Genomic DNA, 25,045 nt, shown 5'->3' on the forward strand with positions numbered 1-25,045 from the left:
CCCAGCCTCATTACCACACCATACTTCCCTCCCTCCCTGAGGTTCAGCCACTCTGGCCTCTTTCCAGTTCCTAAAATACACCCAATCTTTTCCTGCATTAGGGCCTTTTTCTGGCTGCTCCCCCTAGATTGTTCTTGCCTAGCTCTTTCATGAGTGACTCCTTCTTAGTTTCAAAGTCTCAGCTCCAATTTTGCTTCTTTGTCTACTCTTTCCAAAGTAAGCTCCTTTGTTTCCAGCCCGTACTCTTTATTATAGCATCATTCTTACCATTATCTGGAATCATACTTGTTTATTTACTTGACTCTCTGTCTCTCCCTACTAGACTGTAAGTTCCGTGAAGGCAGGAAACTTTTTTTTATTCTCTACTCCATCTCTACTACCTAAACAGTACCTGGCTCATGTTGTTGTGCTAAAAGCAATGTTTAATAACACTGAATAACTTACTATTTTCTAAAGGAAATATAAGAGGAACTCACCTAGTTCTCCCTCCCACGCTTGCTCTCTGTGTCTGTGTCCCTCCTTCCCCCCACATATATAAAAGGAATCTCTCTGTGTCTTAAATGTGAATATCTTTCTAGGCCCTTTATACTGAATGTGAACTAGTGACTTTGTGGCTGAACTTCATCTTTTACTTCATGAAATCATGGCCATAGCTTTTTGAATGGTTAGTTTCAGTTGGAAAACATAGTGAACAATACATCTGGAAATATTCTGTCATGTTTTGAGCTGAGAAACTCTAGAGAACCAGCTGCTGATTTAAAAGCCTTTTATTATGATACAGACAGTCTATTGTCTATAAAAGCATTGGCTATTACACAGTGGTAGATATGTGTTGCTTTTTCTAGCTATTAACTTGAAAGAAAAAACTTGTATTCATAATTTATGCATGACTTATATTCCCTGAGAATAGTTTATTGTGTTATTTTCTTTAGCTGATTTACTGAGCATTTAGAGATTTTTTGAGACAGGGTCTTGCCCTGTTGTCCAGGCTGGAGTGCAGTGGTGTAAAACACTGCTCACCACAGCCTTGACCTCCTGGGCTTAAGTGATCCTTCCACCTCAGCCTCCCAAGCAGCTGGGACCATAGGTGTGAGCCACCACACCCGACTAATTTTGTGTAGAGACAAGGTCTCACTATGTTGCCCAGGCTGGTCCCAAACTCCTGGTTTCAAGTAATTCTCTCACCTTGGTCTCCCAAAGTGCTGGGAATGATAAGTGTGCACCACTGTGCCAGCCAGGATTTTTCTTACTCCATTTTTTTTTCCTTTAAACTCAATCAAAAGTTAAATGGTTAAATAGTAGGACTGACATATTTTCCATTCTGGGTTTTTTTAATTTCACAGATTTCTACATTAAAATATGGTTTATAAATATGATTTAGTACTCTTAGGTGGCTTTATATTGTTAAAATGGGTGAATTTCACCATTTACTATATTAAAGTTTACTCTTATATTTTATAATACATGAATATAGTGGAAGAAAAATTGACATTCAAGACCTGCATAGAGATAATTTTGAAGAAAGTGAATATGTGTATGATTAGTGGTATAATACACACATAATTTGGTAGTGTGACATTTAATATTTTGATAATTTAAAAAATTTCTGACCATTACTATTTGGAAGATCTATATAAAATGACAGATAATTGTGTACTGAGATTATTAGGTAGGAAATAATTACAACTAAATAACTTAGGCTGGGAGTGGTGGCTCATGCCTGTAATCCCAGCACTTTGGGAGGCAAGGTGGGTGGATCACTTGAGGTCAGGAGTTCGAGACCAGCCTGGCCAACATGGTGAAACCCCATCTCTACTAAAAATCCAAAAAAAAAAAAAAGATTAGCTGGGTGTGGTGGCACATGCCTGTAGTCCCAGCTACTTGGGAAGCTGAGGCATGAGAATCACTTGAACCTGGGAGGCCAAGGTTTCAGTGAGCTGAGACTGCGTCTCTGCACTTCAGCCTGGGCAACAGAGTGAGACTCTATTTCAAAAACACAAACAAAAAATAACAAAACAACTTACAGTAACATTTTTGTGTTTTTAAATTACAAAAATTACTTTAAAATTTACATTTCAGGAAATTAGAAAATAGGAAACGCAGATACAAATTCATTCAATTTCCTAAGCATTAGTACAACCAGTAGAATATTTTAAAAATGTTCTTTCGGTGTTGTTGCTTTATTTATACATGTGGATTTTTTTTGGTGTTGTACTCATAATGTATATTTCTTCTTTTAAGTGAAATATAATGTCATAAACATTTTCCTATAATGCCAAGTTTTTATAACCATTGTTTTAATGGCCCACATAGTACTCAACCTAACGATATATCTTAATTTACTTAACTATTCCTCTTTGTTGGAGGAGTTATTTATGAAGTGTTTTAGCTTTTATAACTGTCATCTTAGTGAATACTTTTGTGAATATTGTTTTTATTATCACATTTGGCATTACTGCTTATAAGGTATATTCTCATAAGTGGAATTCCCAGGTATGACTTTTTTTATGTCCGCTAACAAATTCTAGCAAGTGATTTTCCAAAGAGAATATGTCAGTTTATATCACCACCTGCAGGGTGTAAAACTACCTATTCCATTGTTGCATTCAGCATTATATATTCTTTCTTTTTAACTCGCACTATAATTAGGGAAAAATATCATATTGTTTTAATTTCAGTTTTTTTGATTACTAGTGAAGTTGCATATTTTCATGTTTGGTTTCTAGTGTCAGAATCATAATAGCTTCAAATATTTTTCCCAGTTCCAATAACTTCGTTTTTTTCTGTATAGATAGTTTTGTCTGTCTAACTTGATTCATGTACTTCATGTAACATTTTAGAGATGTGGCCTAGTTTTTTGGCTTAAATACACACACTTATATTCTCAATGATGAATTTCTCCTATTATGCTCAGTAATGCTTTCAAATTAGTTATTCTGAAGAAGGAGTAATACAACATTATGTTTGTATTCCATATTGTTATTCTAGTATATTGTGAAGGCATATTATGTGAGTAATCCTAAAAAATTTTTTAAATCCAGAAATCTCCCTTAAATCTAGAAACTTTAATGATAGATTATGTTTAAGTATATGTTTCAAATATGCTTAAGTAATAGTTTTTTAAAGTCTGAGAATTTATATTTGAATTATGATTTTTTTTCCTCTTGTAGGTTGGAAAAGAGACTGTTCAAACCACTGAGGATCAGATTTTGAAGAGAGATATGCCACCAGCATTTATTAAGTGAGTAATTGAAATATTCTTCTGTTGCTAAGCAGAATAATACTCTTGTTAGGAAGAAAAAGTAGCTGATTTCAGTAACAACTTTTTTTTGGTATAAAACTTTTGTTTACAATTGAAATTTCAACTTTTTTGTCTTCTAACTTTTTTAAAAAAACTGTTCATTTTAGTTTTTGATATTAGGCATTTTTGACATAATAATTTTTTTTTTTTGAGACGGAGTTTCACCCTCGTCACCCAGTTTGGAGTGCAATGGTGCGATGTCAGCTCACTGCAACCTCTGCCTCTTGGGTTCAAATGATTTGCCTGTCTCAGCCTCTGGAATAGCTTGGATTATAGGCGCGTGCCACCATCCCTGGCTAATCTTTGTATTTTTAGTAGAGATGGGGTTTCACCATGTTGGCCAAGCTGGTCTTGAACTTCCGACCTCAGGTGATCCACCCACCTTGGCCTCCCAAAGTGCTGGGATTATAGGCGTGAGCCACTGTACCTGGCCAATTTTTGACATAATAATTTTTAATAAGACCATGAGTTTTGAGTTTTTCTTTCCAAAATGAAAAGTATTCAGAGACCCACTGTGACTATAGCATGCATGAATCTACATTGTATACTAGGCACCTTTGCTTGGAGATAAGGGAATAATGGTAGATATAAACTTTAAAAAATTATTGTTTTGGCCGGGCGTGGTGGCTCATGCCTGTCATCCCAGCACTTTGGGAGGCCAAGGAGGGTGGATCACCTCAGGTCAGGAGATCGAGACCATCCTGGCTAACATGGTGAAACCCTGTCTCTACTAAAAATATAAAAAAAATTAGCCAGGCGTGGTGGCGGGTGCCTGTAGTCCCAGCTATTTGGGAGGCTGAGGCAGGAGAATGGCGTGAACTCAGGAGGTGGAGCTTGCAGTGAGTGGAGATCACGCCACTGCACTCCAGTCTGGGTGACAGAGCGGGACTCTGTCTCAAAAAAAAAAAATTATTGTTTCATATTTTCAGTTACATTTTAAATTTAAGTTATATTTATATATCTCCTAGTATTCCTAAAAATAATTTCCAGGCTTTTTGGGCTATTCTGCATAAAACAAGCAGACATACTAATTTTTGAATACTTAAAACTTCTTAGGTTCTTATATTGTCTTTGATTAGTGGTTTTGTTCTATATGGCAGTCAAGTTGTAAGCAAAAGTAAAAGCTGATGTGTAGGACAAAAAAAATAGAACTCATAGAAGTCAATAAGAATAACATAAGACTTTCCAAAAAGGTGTTTGAAGGACTTGAATAGGCACCTCAAAAGAGGAAATTTAAGTGGCCAATAAATATTTTATTTCAGTCATCAGAGAAGTGCAAATTATTTTATTATACACCCCAAATTAAGAACCCTGATAATATTAGTTGTTGATAAGATGTGGAGCAACTGGAATGTTCTTACACTGCTGTTGGGAATGTAAATTGCTGCAGCCACTTTGGAAAACAACATGACATCAGTAAAGTAGAAGATAAGCAGTTCCACTGTCGGGTATGTTCCCTAAAGATACTCGTCCACATGCACACCAGCATCCATATAAAAAACATTTCTATCAGCATTGTTCATGATGACCCCACTGGTCTATCTAGAGTAGAATGGATAAAATAATCATGGTGTAATCAGAAATTGTAATATTAATCAGTAATGAAAAGGAGTGAGGAATTTTCACTTAAAAATGGTTAATTTTATGCTATATGAGTTTCATTTCAATTGAAAAAAACAATGAGGCCAGGTGCAGTGGCTCACACCTGTAATCCCAGCACTTTGGGAGGCCGAGGAGGGAAGATCACTTGAGCCTAGGAGTTTGAGACCAGCCTGGGCAACATGGTGAAAACTCATCTCTACAAAACATTAGCTCCGTGTGGTGGTGTGAGCCGATAGTCCCAGCCACCCAGGAGGCTGAAGTGGGAGGATCACCTGAGCTGGGGAAGTTAAGGCTGCAGTGAGCTGTGACTGCACCACTGCACTCCAGCCTGGGTGACAGGGTGAAACCCTGTATCTAAAAATAAATAAATAAATAAAAAGACAAAAAAAGAGAAATGAATGAATCTCAAAAATAATTGAGGGAAATGAAAAACAGAGAGACAGAGAGACGGATAGATAGATAGATAGATAGATAGATAGATAGATAGATAGATATGTAGGTTCCACTTATTTAAAGTTCAAAAATGGCCAGGTGTGGTGACTCACACCTGTAATCCCAGTACTTTGGGAGACCAAGGCAGGTGGATCACTTGAGGTCAGGAGTTCGAGATCAGCCTGGCCAACATGGTGAAACCCTATCTGTACTAACAATATAAAAATTAGCCAGGCGTGGTGGCTCACACTTGTAATCCCAGCTACTTGGGAGGCTGAGGCGGGAGAATCACTTGAATCCGGGTGGCGGAGGTTGCAGTGAGCCAAGATCAAGCCACTGTACTCCAGTCTGGGTGACAGAGTGAGACTCTGTCTCAAAAAAAAAAAAAAAAAAGTTCAAAAACATGCAGAAATAAACTATGTTGTTTAGACATGCCTATTTATATGGTAAAAAGATGAAGATGAGTAAGTAATAATGGTCACCACAGCCAGGGTAGTCCTACCTCTGGGAGGGAGGAAGAGGTCTATACTCAGGAAGAGGTACACAGGGGCATCTAAAAGTGGTAATAATGTTCTATTTTTGATTTAAGTGATGAGTTACATGGGCGGTTGTTTTATATTTATGCATTATATTATACATATGTTTATTTTCTCTATGTATGTTAAATATCACAACTTTAAATAAAGCTAAAAGTGTTCCTTTATTTTTATCCTCCTTATGTTCTATTATTTTCATTGAACAGATGTAAAATTCTCACCCATATTGAAATCTTCTTATTTCTACCTGAGTGGGTGCTTTATGCAACTGTGTTTCTGTTAATTCCATAAAATGTCTTCATGTGTCAGGAAGTAAGGTGCTAGAAGCATCTGTTTTTTTGTACAGCCTGTTTTGTGGGAGTATCTTTTTTGTCCTACCTTCATTGGACTTGGTGATCTCAAGGTTTCTTCGAGCTCTGATCAACATGAGCCTATTTTGTTTACATGCCATCCGATCAGCCTGGTAATATATATATATTTTTGAGACAGGCTCTCACTCTGTCACCCAGGTTGAAGTGCAGTGGTGCGATCATGGCTCACTGCAGCCTCAATTGCCCAGACTTAAGTGATCCTCTTGCCTCACCCCGAGTCGCTGGGACTACAGGTGTGTGCCACTATGCCCGGACAATTTTTAAATCATTTGTAGAGGTAAGGTCTCCCTGTTGCCCAGGCTGGTCTTGAATTCCTGGGCTCAAGCAATCCTCCTGCATTGGCCTCCCAAAGTGTTGGGAGTACCGGCATGAGCCACTGTGCCCCGGCCTTAGCCTGGTAATATTAAGAGGAATCTTATGCTGTCAACTAAACATATTATAATTAAACTTGCATTTACCTTACATTAAAAACATAGCTCTAGCTTGTAGCAGGTTGCCCCTCACCCCTTGGAAGATACAGAGCACGGGGAATGAGTGAGTACAGGTTTCACTATCGGGTAGGTAGTTGGACTAGAAGACCTTACAAACAATTGCTTCCAACCCTGACATTCTAGTCTATGAATATGATTTGATTGGTAAGTGGATTTTGTCAGGAAACTTATTTTTGCTTATCCCCAGAGACATATTCTGAAATATGCTATGTGCTTTCACAGACTTCTTTGGGGACTTAGAAAAATTAAAAATGAGCACACCCTAGTTGTGATAAAAATTTCAAAAAATTTGGTCACTTTAAAACAAAATAAAACTTTACTGATCACCCTGTGTGGTAACTAGGGCATCAACCCCTTACTCTAATAATTGGTAATTTAAAGGAAATTAAGCATTTATCTTGCCTTTCCTGTACAAAATTTTTAGAGTAGCCCAATAGCCCTAGTTGTAAGGTGAATTCTAACCAATAAATGTGGAAGACATGACAGAATTAAAAAATCATTGATCGCTGGGCATGGTGGCTCACGCCTGTAATCCCAGCACTTTGGGAGGCCGAGGTGGGAGGATTGCTTAAGCCCAGGAGGTCGAGGCTGCAGTGAGCTGTCATTATGCCACTGCACTCCAGCCTGGGTGACAGAGTGAGACCCTGTGTAAAACAAAACAAAATAAAACAAACCGTGATGGATTTTTATGTTTGCTTTTCTTGTTTTTCTATAGAATGCAAAATGAAGCAGAAAATAGTAGATGCCTTGACTTGGAAAAGACAGGGACAGAGAAGGGGGAAACAGATGGAAGCAATTAATGACATCCTTGGAACTATTGAGTAGGACATTCTTTTGAGCTGCTTGGTTGATGTTTAGAAATTTCTAGGGCATGACCGACTGAAACTTCCTCTGTAGTCTACTTTTGCAAGGACTTCTCAAGTGACTGCTTAAGCAACACTAAAGGCTAAAATATTTAAACATTTATTGTTAGATCAGTCTGTACTCCTAGAATGTTAAGATGTCAAGGCTAGAGAAAACAGAAGATACTTGGCCTGTAGATAGATTTATACCTAAGCTATCTGATATATATTTAAAGATTTTTCAGGGAAAGATATGATACTTTTAGGATTTGGGGATCTCAAGATCCTATCATAGGCTATTTGTGTGATTGGCAATTAGGGCATATGGAAAAATGGGTTTAATACATTTAAAATGATACAATTGTCGATGAGGAACTTCCAGTGCTCAGGCAATTCCTTACTGTAAAAGTGAGAGCCATTTTAATATAGAACAAGATTTGCATGGTCACAGCCTTTCTCTTGGGTGGAGCTAAAGTTATTTGATCCCTGGCTGCACTGGCAGATAGAGCTCACAATTTACTAATTTTACCCAAGACTGCAATAATAGCCACAGTGTTGCATAAGAGGTGTAGGGTTGCATGGTGATTGCCATCGAAACTGCCCAGATTGTCATAAACTTCAGGAGTGCAGCAGCTATGCTGTATTGTTAAAATGTTGGTTAGACTAACCTTATAACCCTATAAGAAATCATTTGTTCCTGGCTGGGTGCGCTAGCTCACGCCTATAATCCCAGCACTTTGGGAGGCTGAGGCAGGTGGATCACTTGAGGTCAAGAGTTCAAAACCAGCCTGGCCAACATGGTGAAACCCCATCTCTACTAAAAATTCAAAACTAGCCGGGCGTGGTGGCACATACCTGTAATCCCAGCTACTTGGGAGGCTGAGGTAGGAGAATCACTTGAACCCAGGTGGTGGAGGTTGCAGTGAGCCGAGATCATGCCATGCATTCCAGCCTGGGCAAGAGCGAAACTCTGTCTCAAAAAAAAAAAAAAAAGAAAAGAAATCATTTGTTCCTTTTGAGACTGTCAGCAGGGGAGTCAGCTACTGTACTCCATGTTTACATTTTGTATCACTGTCAGTTGTCATTTTCTTCTTCGTCATCATCATCATCAGACTGCTGTGGCAGTAATGTTTTATATATAATTGATTAATGGGCTAGACATGCTCCTTGGTTAATTATTTACTGATTGCCTTCTATGTGCCTAGCATGCTGAGTGCTGTTTATAGAATAGTAGTTCCTACCAGTGTGTAATGAATAGTCACTTGTGAGATATATTGCAAATAATATATTAACAGTAATAAAGTGCCAGAGGATACTAATGCTTTGCTTTAAAAGAAAAAATTAATTGAGAGGTCAGGCGTGGTGGCTCATGCCTGTAATCCCAGCACTTTGGGAGGCCGAGGCGGGGGGATTGTGAGGTCAGGAGATCGAGACCACGGTGAAACCCCGTCTCTACTAAAAATACAAAAAATTAGCCGGACGTGGTGGCAGGCACCAGTAGTCCCAGCTACTCAGGAGGCTGAGGCAGGAGAATGCGTGAACCCAGGAGGCGGAGTTTGCAGTGAGCTGAGATTGCGCCACTGCACTCCAGCCTGGGCGACAGAGCGAGACTCCATCTCAAAAAAACAAACAAACAAACAAACAAACAAAAACTTAATTGAGCATATTTAAGTTCACGTGTATAATAATATCCCTCTCATTCCTTCTCATTATGTTTTTTTTTAAACTTTCATTGAAGTATAATATGCTTGTTATTATGTTTTCTTTAATGGGAGATAAAATAGTGGAACTACAGCTATTGTGGCTGGGAATTATGCATAATCCCAAGTAGACCCATGGGGATATGCCATAAACTTGAGTTTTATTTTTCTATATATGATGGCAGAGCAAAAGTGGAAACACTACTGCAGAGAAATTTTGTAAAAAAGAAATATTTTAAGACGTTTCCAATTAAAGAGCTATAATACAGACTGACTTTATGATAGGAATTCAGAGAGAGAGCTCTCTCATTATAAGTAGGAATAGTAGAAAGAGCGTTTATGTAGGAAGTGGGGCTTGGGAGGATGGTTAGATGTAGGGAGGAAGGAAAATACTCTAGGTGCAATGAATGGCATGACCAAGTCATGAGGGCCTGTGGGGAGAGGGGCACATGGTGGGGGTGGTAGGAACTAAGCTTAGGTAGGTAGGTTGGGCAATAGTGAAGGTCCTTGAAAGCCAGGCAAAGGAATTTAGAATTGGGCAGGAGGGAAGCTTTGTAGTTGCTGAGCAGTAGGATGACAATATGAAAGCATCTTCCAGAAGATTCATAACCAAATACAGAAGGAATAGTAGGTGCTAATGTTGTAACAGAGAATAAGCTAGATGTCAAACTGACCAGATTTATTTTCTGTCAGTGTAGATTTGCTTCAGATTGATTCCTTATTATAGGTGAGAAATGTTTATAGCAAACTATTTTATTTGCCTTGGAAAAATTGTCATTGCTGTATACAGTGGAATTTCATTCTTATTTCTGCAATGGAGCAGAAATGAATAAGGAAGGCAATTCTTGGACCTGATCCAAGGATGTTCAGAACTGAATGGATCAAAAAGCATCACTTCTGAGGTGGTCTTGTGATATGAACTTGAAAAGGGCATGGTGTACATTATCTGTTGGCAGGCAAATGACAGCTTTCATTTCGAACTGGACAGTGTTGTCACTTTCTGCCTTAGTGCTGCTCTGACAGTCTGCTTGAAGTCAAAACTTGGATTGGTTCACCAGCTTGGACTATTTTTGAAGCATACTGTAATGTCTAGGCTTATTGAATAAAAGAATGTTCCCAAAATACCATGTGAAAGGATGTACTACTGCTACATGATTGCCATTATTCACATTTCTTGGGAATTCTTTGTTTTAACCCTTAAACTTTATTAGTTAAGAACAGTTATGGTATTTACTTATACAAATTTACCATAATTTATATTCATGCACAAAGAAGAAATTTGAGAAGGATTAAAATATGCTTTATACTTAATTTAGATCTCTTTTGACCTAAAGTAATGATGTCACATTTTTAGGTCATCAGGCCTTGTAGCTTTTTCTTTGCTTGTGATCTTGAACACTCAAAATAATTTGTGATGAAATTTGTATTTTTAAACACACTTGTGGGTGAAAGTGCCCAGAATATCTTTTTTTAACAATTAATTACTTAATCATATCACTTAATACCTTTTGTTTGCCTGGGGCTAATGTGTGATTTGTGTGTGTGTGTGTCCTGAGTTTTGTGGTCCTTTCCACTGCTACAGTATTAGAAGATTTTTGTCTCTTAATGTGGATGCCCAAGTTCTGTGATGTAATCATTGACCTCTGCCCACTGCCTTGCTGCATTTTTGACCTAGAGCAAGCACTCAAACTTTAAATAGTTCACCTTTGGACTTGCCACATTAAGCATAATTTAGTACTACTGTATTTTTTTTTTTTTTTTTTTTTTTTTGAGATGGAATCTCGCTCTGCTACCCAGGCTGGAGTGCAATGGCACCATCTCAGCTCATTGCAACCTCCACCTCCCAGGTTCAAGAGATTCTCCTGACTCAGCCTCCCGAGTAGCTGGGATTACAGGCATATGCCACCATGCCTGGTCAATTTTTGCATTTTTAGTAGAGATGGGTTACACCATGTTGGCCAGGCTGGTCTCGAACTCCTGGCCTCAAGTGATCCATTTGCCTCAGCCTCCCAAAATGCTGGCCTATCACTACTGTTTTTTGTTTGTTTGTTTGTTTGTTTTTTGTTTTAGACGGAGTCTTGCTCTGTCATCCAGGCTGGAGTGCAGTGGTGTGATCTCGGCTCACTGCAACCGCTGCCTCCTGGGTTCAAGCAATTCTCCCGCCTCAGCTTCCCGAGTAGCTGGGACTACAGGCACGCACCACCACGCCCAGCTAATTTTTGTATTTTTAGTAGAGATGGGATTTCAGCATGTTGGCCAGCCTGGTCTTGAGCTCTGCTCAATTTCTTAAATACCTTGTATGAGCTGGGTATTTTAAGTTGTGTTATTTAGTCCACTTCATTTTTCAGATGAAGAGAAGCTCAGTAAGGTGTTGAAAGTTACTCAGTTCATACATGGCAGAGGTAGGATTCTAACCCTGAACTGTTTGATTCCAAGTATGCTCATTCCAGTATGCTAAGGTACTTTCTCATTCTTCTTTACAATAGTCTCTTCTTCTAACATAATAGTTATTGTGAGGTTTAAATGAGTGAAATGATATATGTGAAAATACCTAAAACAAACAAAAAGAAACATTTGGTGATTATGTTGCAGGACAGGCAAACCCCAAAACTGAGGTTTATCCCAAGAGGGTTCTTGGCTTTTCCTAGGAAAGAATTCAAGAGCTAGCCAGTGGTGTTAGCAACTTTTATTGAAGCAGCAGTGTACAGCAGCAGCAGCAGCAGCAGCAGAGGCATTTCTGCTGGCGGAGCAGGGCTACCCTAGAGGCAGCGTGCCCAGAGTAGCAGCTCAGAGGCAGTTCTGCATTCATATTTATACCCACTTTTAATTATATTCTAATTAAGGGGTGATTTGTGCAGAAATTTCTAGAATGCAAGTGGTGGCTACTAGGTTGTTCAGTTGTTGCCATGGAAAGGGGCAGTAACGTCTGGGTGTTGCCGTGGCAATGGTAAGGTGACCTATCACCCTGGTGGGTGTGTCTTATGGGGAGGTGCTTTTACCCTGGACCTGCTTTAGCTAGTCCTCTATGTGGTCCAGTGTCCACGCCCTGCCTCTGGAATTGAGTACTGACTCCTACTTCAATTACATATTAGCTCCCTTCTATAGCTTCTTTTTTTTTCTTCTATAGCTTCTTAATTTTTGTTTCTTAATAATTTTCTCCAAATAAATGATTCAATTCTTCAGTTAGTTTTTTTTTTTTTTTTTTTTGAGACGGAGTCTCACTCTGTAGCACAAGTTGGAGTGCAGTAGCGTGATCTCAGCTCACTGCAACCTCCCCCTCTAGGGCTCAAGCGATTCTCATGCCTCAGCCCCGCAAGTAGCTGGGACTACAGGTGTGCACCACTACTCCCAGCTGATTTTTTGTATTTTGGTAGAGAGGGGGTTTCACCATTTTGCCCAGGGTGGTCTCAAACTCCTGAGCGCAGGTGATCTGCTCACCTTGGCCTACCAAAGTGCTGAAATTACAGGCGTGAGCCACCGTGCTTGGCCCTTCAGTTACTTTTTAAGCTTTTCTCAGAGATATTTTTTATCTAATTTGTAGTCTTCTGTAGTAAGACTTTTTTTTTTTTGAATTGGACCATGATTACTTGTTTTTATTTAATGCCCTTTCTTTCTGTATCTGTTGAGTGGATTACACAATTTTTATCCTTTACTCTGTTGAGATAGTCTATGGTTTACTACATGAATATAGATTTGCTGATAATGAACCATTCTTGCATTTCTAGGATAAACCCTACCTGGCTGTGATGAAAAAAAAAAATATATATATATATATATATAGTGCTGAATTTAATTTGCTAATATTTTAAAAGGATTTTGCATTTTTGCTCATGAGGGACCTTTATCTGTAATTTTCTTTTCTTTTTATGTTCTTTTCTAGTTTGGGTATCAAAGTTATTTTAGCTTCATAAAATAAGGTCTTTTTCTAGTTTTTGAAACAGGTTATGTAAGATAAAGATTATCTGCTCTTGAAAGTTTGGCAAAACTTGCATCTAAAACTCCCTGTATCTGGTGGTGTCTTTGGGAGGAAGAGATATGACTAAAAAGAAACTCGCTCAGTTTTGTTTTATTATCTAAATCAGGTTCTAAATTCATTGTGAGTCAACTTTGGTAGTCTGATACTTTTCTAAGAAATTACCAATTTTATCCAACCTTCCAATTTATTAGCATAAAATTCATAATAATTATTCTTTTAAAAATCTCTGTTGTATCTAGTTATATCACATTTCCTATTCAGTATTGCTTATTTCTGCCTTTTGTCTTTTTTTCTTATCGCTCTTATTAGAGATTTATCTGTCTTACCAGCTTTTCCCACAAAGATCTATTTCATTAAATTCTTTTCTCATATTTATTATTTACTTTTCTCAAGTTTATTATTTGAATACCTTATTTTTAATATTTCAGTCTTTATGTTCAATCTTTCTTTTCTTTTTTCTTTTTTGAGATAGCGTCTTGCTTTGTCACCTGGGCTGTAGTGCAATGACATGATCTCGGCTCACTGCAACCTCTCCCTCCCGGGTTCAAGCGATTCTCCTGCCTCAGCCTCCCAAGTGGCTGGGATTACAGGTGCCCGCCACCATGCCTGGCTAATTTTTATATTTTTAGTAGAGACAGGGTTTCACTATGTTGGTAAGACTGGTCTCGAACTCCTGACCTCAGGTGATCCACTCACCTCCACCTCCCAAAGTGCTGGGACTACAGGCATGTACCACTTTAATTTTTAAATTAGAGAATTTAAAAATTCTTTAAAATTATTTTTTAAAGTTTTCAAAATTCTTTTTAATATCTTTTGTTATATTTCTAATATAATTGTATTGTACCCAAAGACATGGTTGGTATGATATCAATTCTTGGAAATTCTTTTGTTACATACAGCTCAGTTCTAGTGAGTTTTTATGTGTGCTTGAAAAGAAAGTATATTCTCTTTTGCTTGGGTATAGAGTTCTATTTATACTAATTAGGTCAGTATATAAATATTACTAGTCCAATTTTTTATAGCCTAATTTGTCTGTTTCAACTATCAGCTTATGATTGATATATGTTAAAAATCTCCTATACTAATTGTAGACCTGTCTGTTTTTCTTATAATTGTCAGTGTTAGCTCTACATATTTCAAAGCAATATTGTTAGGTGGTTACAAGTTTGTGATTCTTCTGGGTTCTGAATTCTGTTAATTATTTGTTGCTAATTATCTTTTTTTAGAATGACTGTTGATAGACGTTAGCCTGCTGTTGGCTTGTTTCTCCAGACTGTGTTCTTCTTCTTTTAATCTACATCCTAGTTTTTGCCAGTTTTCTTCATAAGTGAAAAATATCCTCTTATTGTATCTATCACTTCATTTTGTGTTTAGGTTGCCACGCCTGTAACTCTTTTATTACATTCTACTGTAGAACAGTGATTGCCTACTTTTTTTCAGCATAAGGACCTTTAAGTAATAATAGTGAAATTTTAGGCTGGGCGTGGTGGCTCACGCCTTTAATCCTAGCACTTCGGGAGGCCAGGGCAGGAGGATTACTTGAGGCCAGGAGTTCAAGACCAGTGTAGCCAACATGGTGAAATCCCGTCTCTACCAAAAATACAAAAATTAGCTGGGCGTGATGCTGCACACCTGTAGGCCCAGCTACTCGGGTGACTGAGGCAGGAGAACTGCTTGAGCCTGGGAGGTGGAGGTTGCAGTGAGCTGAGATCACGCCATTGCACTTCAGCCTGGGTGACAGAGCAAGACTATGTCTCAAAAAAAAACAAAAACAGAAAAACCAACAACAAAATAATAATAGTGAGATTTTAAATTATTTCTTGATTAAGAAATGCATAAAAACAAAAAGATACAGGCCGGGTGCGATGGCTCACACCTGTAATCCCAGCCTTTTGGGAGGCTAAGGTGGGCAGATCACTTGAGGTCAGGAGTTCAAGACCAGTCTGGCTAACATGGTGGAAACCCGTCTCTACTAAAAATACAGAAATTAGCTGGGCATGGTGAGGAGTGCCTGTAGTCCCAGCTACTTGGGAGGCTGAGGTGGGAGAATGGCTTGAACCTGGGAGGCAGAGATTGCAGTGAGTGGAGATCATGTCACTGCACCCTAGTCTGAGTGACAAAGTGAGACTCTATTTCAAACAAACAAACAAATGATACAGTGAATTTCATAATATTTTATTTTATTTTATATAATTTTTTGAGACAGGATCTTGCTATGTCACCTAGGCTGGAATGTAGTTGTGTGATCACAACTCATTGCAGCCTCAGCCTCCTGGGCTCAGGTGATCCTCTCATCTCAGCCTCCCAGGTACCTGGGACTATAGGCATGCATGCTACCATACCTGGCTAACTAAAAGAAAAAAAAAATTTTTTTTTTTTTAGAGATGGGATCTCACTATGTTGTCCAGGTGGGTCTAGAACTCCTGGGTTCAGTCAATCCTCCCAGAATACTGGGATTATAGGCGTTAGCCACCACGCCTGGCCAATTTAGTAATATTTTAAGATAATTTAAAAATTTTATTCATCACAACAGAATCAACATACATTTGAAAACTGCTAGTATCTGTAAGACACTCTTGCTTGTATACTCAGTCTATTTCTGCTGCAACCCTAGTATGAGATGGAGGAAGGACTGTGGAGCTGATGGACCAGGAGGTAGCAGAGTTCTTGATTGAACTCTGCACACTCAGAATCTGCACTGACGCTAGATTTGACAAGAGAATAAGGGAAGAAGGGAGAAAGAACAGGACTGGTTATTCAGGTTTTAAAGGATTTAAAGATTGTGACTTATACACATCTTTAAAATAAACTACTTACCAAGACTTGAGGAACATATAGCTTGGGCAGCTGTAACGTTTGTTCCTCTCCCATTCTTTCCCAACATGCTGCTTCCCCTTCAGTTATCAATTGACTTGGACAGAGTCCTGTTTTATTTGAAGTCAAAACTGGCTGCATACCCTCCTAATCTCAATAATCTGAAATAAGAGAATTTAGTGAGCCTGTGGGTTTTGTGTGTGTGTGTGCTCATGATGGGTGTGTGTGTGTGTTTAGGCTTTGTTATCTAGTATACATCCTCTAGCAAAGGGTTTGGTGTTTCCCTTGAAATGTTTTGAATGTTTTCAATATGACTCATTGTGGGTTATTTTTTAAAATTCAGTTTTCCCCTTAGCTTTATTGAGATATAATTGACAAATGGAAATTGTATATATTTAAGCTGCATCCTTGTGGTTTTATTTTTAGTTTTGGGTGTACTCATGCAGTGTCCTGTACTATCACTGTTTGGCCTTGATAAGAACAAGAAGTCCACTTTGCATTATGTTGTACTTTAAGAGAGTTGGGACAGGGAAAGGAATACTTTGTGGATGAGGTCTGTAGGATCTTTAAATGTAGGAGTACAGGGTTGGAACAGCATGTATTAATATTATCACACAGTGTACACCCGTGTGAGTTGGTGCTGCATACTTGCTACTTGAATTAGATTAAAGCTTGTCATTGTACTCTGTGTTCCTGACTCCCTCCTAAAAACTGTAACTATGCTTGTGGCCTTCAGTCAGGTGTCTAGGTGACTAATGGCTGAGGATCCTTGACCTTTCTCAAAATGGCAACTCCAGGAGCAAAGCATATCAGCTATTACTGATATGCCACAGAATGCGTCCATCTCTACTGTTTTAAAGTACAATCTGTGCCAAATGCTTCATATTAACATAGAAAAGAAATTTCTTCACCTATCTCCTGAGTCTTTTGAAATCTTCACATATATTATTTTCTAAATTATTATTATTTAAAATTTTCTTAAAGATGGAGTCTTGCTCTGTCTCCCAGGCTGGATAGAGTACAGTGGCATGATCTTAGCTCACTGTAACCTCAGACTTCTGGGATCAAACAATTCTCCCCTCAGCCTCCTGAATAGCTGGGGCTACAGGTACATGCCATCATGCATGGCTAATTTTTTAAAATTTTTCGTAGAGATAGGGTCTCGCTACGTAGTCTAGGCTGTTCTCAAACTCCTGGGCTCAAGCAATCCTCCCACCTCAGCCTCCCAAAGCGCTGGGATTATAGGTGTGAGTCACCATCCCTGGCTCTATTTTTATTATTTAAAAAAAAATTATATGTATATATAAATTCCAGTGAATTGATAGAGGCAGTACTTCCTATTTGAAGCATACTAGAATGGCTGAACTCTCAGTTGCTGATGCCTGAAATTTTATATTGGAGTTCATTCCTTAGGTTAACAATTTAAATCTTAAATATCTAATGAAGGGATAATTTGGGGGGCCTTAGCAGTCATTTTCACTTAGATCTTTGTCTGAAGGTAGGTTCTTAATATGCGGGAAGGCAGAGAGAGCTTGAGGGCCTGCCTGTACCCCAAACCCCTGTCTTCTCACTCAGGCCTTATATTATGAAGGGTCTGGACTTTAATATTATCTTCAAATAAGGCCATGTATGTAGTCACAGGAAAAAAAGAAGTTTTAAAAGATGTTGTTCATGGCCAGGTGTGGTGGCTCACGTTGTAATCCCAGCACTTTGGGAGGCTGAGGTGGCCAGATTGCTTGAGCCCAGGAGTTCAAGACCAGCCTGGGCAACATGGCAAAACCCCATCTCTATTAAAAATACAAAAAATTACCTGGGCATGGTGGCATGCACCTGTAGTCCCAGTTACTCGGGAGGCTAAGGTAGGAGGATCACTTGAGCCCAGGAGGTCAAGGCTGTGGTGAGCCGTGATCGTGCCACTGCACTCCAGCCCAGACAAAAGTTGATCATGCAATTAAAATATTAAATGTAAGCACTTAAATAGACCACCATTTTTATGAACCTGTTTTGGCATTTCTTCATTTTTAAATATGATGGACTTCTCAGACTGGGAAGTGATCTATGCCTTTCTTGATGTCTGAAAGACCCTGACAGGATGGGAAGGGAAGGGAAGATCTCAACAAGGGCTAAGAAAAGAGGAAGAATAGCCCTGACAATTGATTTTGCCTGCCACATAATTATACTGGGGCCAGACTGGTTGGAGATGACAGTGAGGGAGGTGCTGGGTGCAGTGGCCAGGTGGAGAAAACCTCACTGACCAGATTCTCATGTTCTCACTTCCTTCCCTCCACCTGTTTCCTTCCCATCTCCCAAGTGTCGTCGTAGCCTTGTTTGATCAGATATGTTTGTGGGCTCTGCAACAAGCTCTCTCTCTCTAATACAGGGATCGTGGTATGTAAACACCTGTTTCCTTGGGTGTGCTCCAGGAACTGCGACCTCCATGAAATAAAATTTTCAAGTGTTCTGTTCCATAGTACTTCACTCTTAGGCAAACAATGCATCTTTTTGACAGTATTTATAACCTAAAAGGCTATACTGTCTAAGATCAGTTTTAATTTTTTTGTTTTTATTAAAACAGTGAATGTGATATGAGTTACTTCCACTCCTCCCCAACTTTTTTTTTTTTTTGGTGGGAGTGAAAGTTGAACGTGAATGTTTTCAAGTGCTTTCCAGTTTTAATTTATGGACCATATGTCTAAATAGACTTAATCACACCATTTCCTTTATATTATTTTGTCTAAAGCTCTCCTTTCCACGGCCACTAAACCAGTGAGCTGACATAGGATGACTGCTTTTTACAGAAGTAGATTGAGATTGTTTGGCTTTAGAGTGAGCTACCTGCACTTTGTGATGGTAGACTGCCCTCCCTAGTCCAACTAGACCGATTGCAAGTGCATGTTATTTCTCACAGAAAGGGTGTGTGTGTGTGTGTGCGTGTGCACGTGCGTATGCGTGAGAGAGAGAGAGAAAGAGATCTACTGGAAAAAGAGCTCAAAGAGATGCTGCAAAGAGAATCATCTTTATAAGTAGTGCTGAACTTCTCAAGGCAGGAGCAGTGTAGTTACCTTCTCCATCGCAACATTCCTAACCTCTTAGGTAAAAATGACTCCTCCAGGCCAGGCACGGTGGCTCACACCTGTAATCCCAGCACTTAGGGATCACCTGAGGTTGGGAGTTCGAGACCAGTCTGGCCAACATGGTGAAACCCCATCTCTATTAAAAATACAAAAACTAGTTCGGCATGGTGGCGCATGCCTATAATCCCAACTACTGGGAGGCTAAGGCTTGAGAATCACTTGAGTGTGGGAGAGGCAGAGTTTGCAGTGGGCTGAGATCGCACCACTGCACTCCAGCCTGGGTGACAGAGCAAGACTCCACTTCGAAAGAAAAAAAAAAAAGAAAAGAAAAAATCTCCTCCTGCTTTTGCACCCATACTTTTTTTTTTTTTGAGACGGAGTCTCGCCCTGTCACGAAGGCTGTAGTGCAGTGGTGCCATCTTGGCTCATTGCAACCTCCACCTCCTGGGTTCAAGCAATTTTCCTGTCTCAGCTTCCTGAGTAGCTGGGATTACAGGCATGTGCCACCACGCTTGGCTAATTTTTGTATTTTTTAAGTAGAGATGGGGTTTCACCATGTTGGTCAGATTGGTCTCGAATTCCTGACCTTGTGATCTGCCTGCCTTGGCCTCCCAAAGTGTTGGGATTACAGGTGTGAGCCACCGCGTCCAGCCTGCTGGACATACTTCTAAAGACTGATTTGTACTTGTCTCCTCCTACCAAGGTTCCTCTTAGGTAAGGACTTTTAAAAAATATTCCCATTTCTAGGAATCATAGCATGTAATAGTTCCTCAATATATTAGATGAATAAATATATGAAAGAATTTAAAGGAATTTAAGATTAGTGACTCTGCTGGGCACAGTGGCTCACGCCTGTAATTCTGGCACTTTGTGAGGCAAGGCAGGAGGATCACTTGAGCCCAGGAGTTCAAGACCAGTCTGGACAACATAGGGAGACCTTGTCTGTACAAAACATAAAAAATTAGCTGGGCATGGTGATGTGCACCTATAGTCTCAGCTACTTAAGAGGCTGAGGTGGGAGGATCACTTGAGCCCAGGAGTTCAAGACCAGTGTGGGCAACATAGTGAGACCCTGTCTCTACAAAAAATATAAAAAATAAAAAATTATCTGGGCATGGTGGCATGTGCCTTTGGTCTCAGTTACTTGATAGGCTGAGGTGGGAGGATGACTTGAGTCTGGGAGGTTGAGGCTACAGTGAGCTGTGATGGTACCACTGCACTCCACCCTGGGTAACAGAGCGAGACACTGTCTAGAAAAAAAATTTAGTAACTCACTTTTTCTGGATATAGTCTAAAAGAACCCTTAAAAAGGACTTGCAGGCAGAGTGTGGTGGCTCACACCTGTAATCCCAGCATTTTGGAAGACCGAAGTGGGTGGATCACTTGAGGTCAGGAGTTGGAGACCAGCCTGGGCAATATGATGAAACCTCATCTCTACGCAAAATACAAAAAAAATTAGCTGGGCATAGTGGCGCATTCCTGTAGTTCCAGCTACTTGGGAGGCTGAGGCAGGAGGATTGCTTGAGCCCAGGGAACGGAGGTTGCTGTGAGCTGAGATCGCGCCACTGCACTCCAGCCTGGGCAACAGAATGAGACTCTGTCTCAAAAAAAAAAAAAAAAAGAAAAAGAAAAAGAAGAAAAAAGACTTGTGGTAGTCTTTTTATAATCTCTAAATGGATTTTCCTCTTCTTTGGCATACATTTAATCTTCTTGGTTAGTGATAATTGAAATCACATGGAACTGAGGAATTTGTGCTCTTTTTTTCTTACAAAATAATTACTCATACTCAAGGTCTTCTCCTAAATTGTCTCAAATTAGAGTAGGTGGTAATTCTGGGAAGAATGTATTAGAGGGTCATGAGTGAGCATATTTCGAGATCCCATAAGGCTGTCATTGGTCCATTTGATATATAGCATAAGATTTTTTTTCTAGCAATTTAGGTTGAAGATTCAAAGGGAGAGAGAAGTACTAGTTGATTGATTTAAATTATCTAATTAAATATTATTAGTATATAGTTAAGATATACAATTATTTAGGAAACTGACCTTATGCCTACTTTCATTCTTTAAATACTTTTTAAAAATTCAGATTTCTATTAAAATGTGCAAGATCACTTTAAGAAGCTAGGGAGCTTGAATGTTTAAATAAAATCCAATTTTCCATACACAAGACAGACTTCTTCCTGTTTCTGACTGCTGGTTAGTCTTAGTGGGATTTGTTTGGCTTTTATGAATGCCATTAAATTTTAATGTGCAGATCAGATGTCTTATTGTATAAAAAAATGGTTCAGTCTCTGTTTTGGACCTATCATTTTACCACACAAGGGAACCATTAGTGATAATCAATTTTATTCCTGTAAACCTTTTCAATTTCATCTTTTTCAGTTTCCTTTCTCCATAATGGTCATTCTTGTCATTTTTTTTCCAAATTTGAAAAACTTATACAGTAACTGGATTTCATAAATAGATATATCACAAGACTTGTAGTTGGTGATGCTTTTGTTTGTTGGCTATAATTTCATAAATGTTCAAGTTTCCTGGAAACAATTTCTTTAAATATTACCCTACCACTACCTTCTCTCCTTTGGAAACTTTAATTACACATATATTAGGTTGCTTGGAGTTGTCCCACAGTTCACTGATGCCATTTGTTTTTCAAAATCTTTTTTCACCCTGTTTTATTTTGGATAGTCTTTATTGCTATGACTTCAATTTCACTATTTTTTCCCCTGCAATATCTAATCTGCTAGTAATTCACAGTGTATTTTTATATCTCAGACATATCTTTCGTATCTAGTTGTTCTATTTGGGTCTTTTTCTCTATCTTCCATTTATCTAACTAGGGTAACCAATCTACTTTTTTTTTTTTTTTTGAGACAGGATCTTGCTGGGTCACTCAGGATGGAGTGCAATCACGGCCCACTGCAGCCTCAACCTCCTGGGCCCAAGTGATCCTCCCACCTCAGCCTCAAGAGTAGCTGGGGCTACAGGCGCACAACACCATGCCATTACATTTTTTATTTTTATTTTTTGAGATGGGGTCTTACTCTGTTGCCCAGGCTGGAGTGCAGTGGCACAATCACGGCTCACTGCATCCTCAACTTCCCTGGGTTTAGGTGATCCAGCCACCTCAGCCTCCTGAGTAGCTGGGACTATAGGAGTGCACCACCACACATGGCTAATTTTTTATTTTTTGTAAAAATGGGGTTTTGCCATGCTGCCCAGGCTGGTCTTGAACTCCTGAGCTCAAGAGATCCTCCTGCCTCAGCCTCCCAAAGTGCTAGGATTACAGGTGTGAGCCACCATGCCTGGCCTGATTTTTTTTTTTTTTTTTTTGTAGAGATGGAGTCTTGCTATATTGCCCAGGCTGGCCTTGAACTCCTGGCCTCAAGCAATCCTTCTGCCTCAGCCTCCCAGACCATGGTATTAGGCACTGTGCCCAGCTCAATCTTTACTTTTGTTTTTTGAACATGTGGAGTACAGTTATGACCATTTTAATGTTCTTATATACTGATTCTGTCATCTTTGTCATTTCTAGGTCGGTTTTGTTTTGAAATAGGGTCTTATTCTGTCACCCAGTATGGGATGTGGTAGTGCGATAATGGCTCACTGCAGCCTTGGCCTCTTGGGCTCAAGTGATTCTCCCACTTTAGCCTCCTGAGTAGCTGGGACCACAGGTACTTACCACTGTTCCTGGCTAATTTTTAAATTTTTTGTAGAGACAAGGTCTTCCTTGGCCGGGTGCAGTGGCTTACACCTATAATCCCAACACTTTGGGAGGCTGAGGCGGGTGGATCACTTGAGGCCAGGAGTTCGAGACCAGCCTGGCCATCATGATACCCCGTCGCTACTAAAAATATAAAAATTAGCCAGCTGTGGTGTGGTAGCACACACTTGTAATCCCGGCTACCTGGGAGGCTGAGGCACAAGAATCCTTTGAACCCAAGAGGTGGAGGTTGCTTTGAGCCGAGATCGCACCACTGCACTCCAGCCTGGGCGACACAGCCAGACTTTGTCTAAAAAAAAGAAGACAGGGTCTCCCTGAGTTGCCCAGGCTGGTCTTGAACTCCTGGCCTCAAGCAGTCCTCCTCTCATCCTCAGCCTCCTAAAGTGTTGGGATTACAGGCATGAGCCATGACACCAGGCCCGAGGTTGGTTTTGAATGATTGACTTTTCTCTTCATTATTGGCGGTATTTTCATGCCTTCTTGTATACCTGATAATTTTTGACTGGATGAGAGTTTCCTCTTATTGCTGTGACAAGTCACCAGAAACTTTGTGGTTTAAAACAACACAAATTTATTATCTTACAGTTCTGGAAGCCAGAAGTCCAAAGTGAGTCAGCAGGGCCACATTCTTTCTGGAAACTCTAGAAAAGACTCTGTTTCTTCACCTTTTCCAGCTTCTAGAGGCTGCCTGCTTTCCTTGGCTTGTAGCCCCACATTACTCCAGTCTCTGCTTTCATTATCATACCTCCTTCTCTCCTGCTTCCATTGCCATGTCAGTGAAATAATGCCCTCAGTTTGCTAATAAAATAACTGTCAACTTAGAATTCTGTACTGCTATAATAGTCTTTGAAGAATGAGGACAAAACAGACATTATCAAACAAAAACTGATACATTTTGTCACCAGCAGACTTTTACTAGAGGAAATCCTAAAGAATGTACTTCAGACAAGTCCGCTGATCCCAGATGTAAGCCTGAAATACAAGAGGGAATGATGAGCCAAGATACTGGACAGTTTGTTGGTAAATGTAGATAAGTGTTGATGTATATAATAATGGGATGTTTTTACTCAACGCTTCTGATACCAGATGTATGGCTTTTTTTTTCCACACCAACAACCAGTCTTCCAACTCTTCAGACACCAACTTGGTATTCAGCAGCGCAATTCAATTCTGACACTAACTATCCAGAGTTAGTGTCAGACTCCACAGGTTTAAGTGCTTAGTCCCATAAAACTATCCTCACTTCAGATACCAGTCACAAGTATTGGGTGCCTGGTATACCCACACTTCTGTCTGACTTTACTACAAAGTTGGGAGTTCCTACAACTCCCCGCTTTCGGGTTTGTTAATTCGCTAGAATGGCTCACATAACTCACAGAAATACTTTACTCAAATAGTTACCAGTTTATTATAAAGGATACAACCCAGGAACAGCCAAATGGAAGAGATGCATAGGGCAAGATATGATGAGGAAGATTTCATGCTGCCTGGGTGCACCACCTCCCAGCACCCAGATGTGTTCACCAACTCAGAAACTCTCTGACCATGCCTTGATGTTTCTGGAACCAGCTCCCGTTTTGAAGCTATCTAGGGTCCCCCAGCCACTAGTCATCTTATTAGCATACAAAAGACACTTTTTTTTTTTTGAGACAGGATCCAGCTCTGTCACCCACACTGGAGTGCAGTGGCATGATCATAGCTCACTACAGCCTTGATATCCTGGACTCAAGCACTCCTCCTGCCTCAGCCTCCTGAGTAGCTAGGACTACAGGTGTGAGCCACCGTGCCTGCCTATCTTTTTAAAATTTTTAGTAGAGATGAGATCTTGCTCTGTTACCCAGGCTCGTCTGGAACTCCTAAGCTCAAGTGATCCTCCTGCCTTGGGCTTCCAAAGTACTGGGATTACAGGCATGAGCCACTGTGCCTGTCCACAAAGACACTTTTAAGTGTCAAAAGACACTTTTAGGAAAAATATTTTTCCTAAAATTTGGATCACTCATTCTTTTTAATAACACATAGAAAATTTATAAAAATAAATCATATGTTAAGCCATGAAGCTAGCCTAAATATATTTTAGTGCCTTAAGACCACATTTTCTACACAACTCATTTGAATGATAAATCAATGATCAGAAGATAAGAGGAAGAGTCCTTTATACGTAGAAGTATATTTTAAAATTC

The 25,045-nt window shown here is 39.6% G+C and overlaps 1 protein-coding gene across 2 annotated transcripts in view; it reads left to right on the forward strand.

Moving 5' to 3' along the window:
• The window catches only part of VCL (vinculin), a 123,248-nt gene that overhangs the window by 41,797 nt on the left and 56,406 nt on the right, over nt 1-25,045 (forward strand). For both annotated transcript variants that reach the window (NM_003373.4, NM_014000.3), the window contains exon 2: nt 3,171-3,241. In NM_003373.4, coding sequence (NP_003364.1) covers nt 3,171-3,241 — 71 coding nt within the window. The remainder of the gene's footprint in view (nt 1-3,170; nt 3,242-25,045) is intronic.

Source organism: Homo sapiens, chromosome 10 (genome assembly GCF_000001405.40).
Source record: "Homo sapiens chromosome 10, GRCh38.p14 Primary Assembly".
Taxonomy (NCBI): domain Eukaryota; kingdom Metazoa; phylum Chordata; class Mammalia; order Primates; family Hominidae; genus Homo; species Homo sapiens.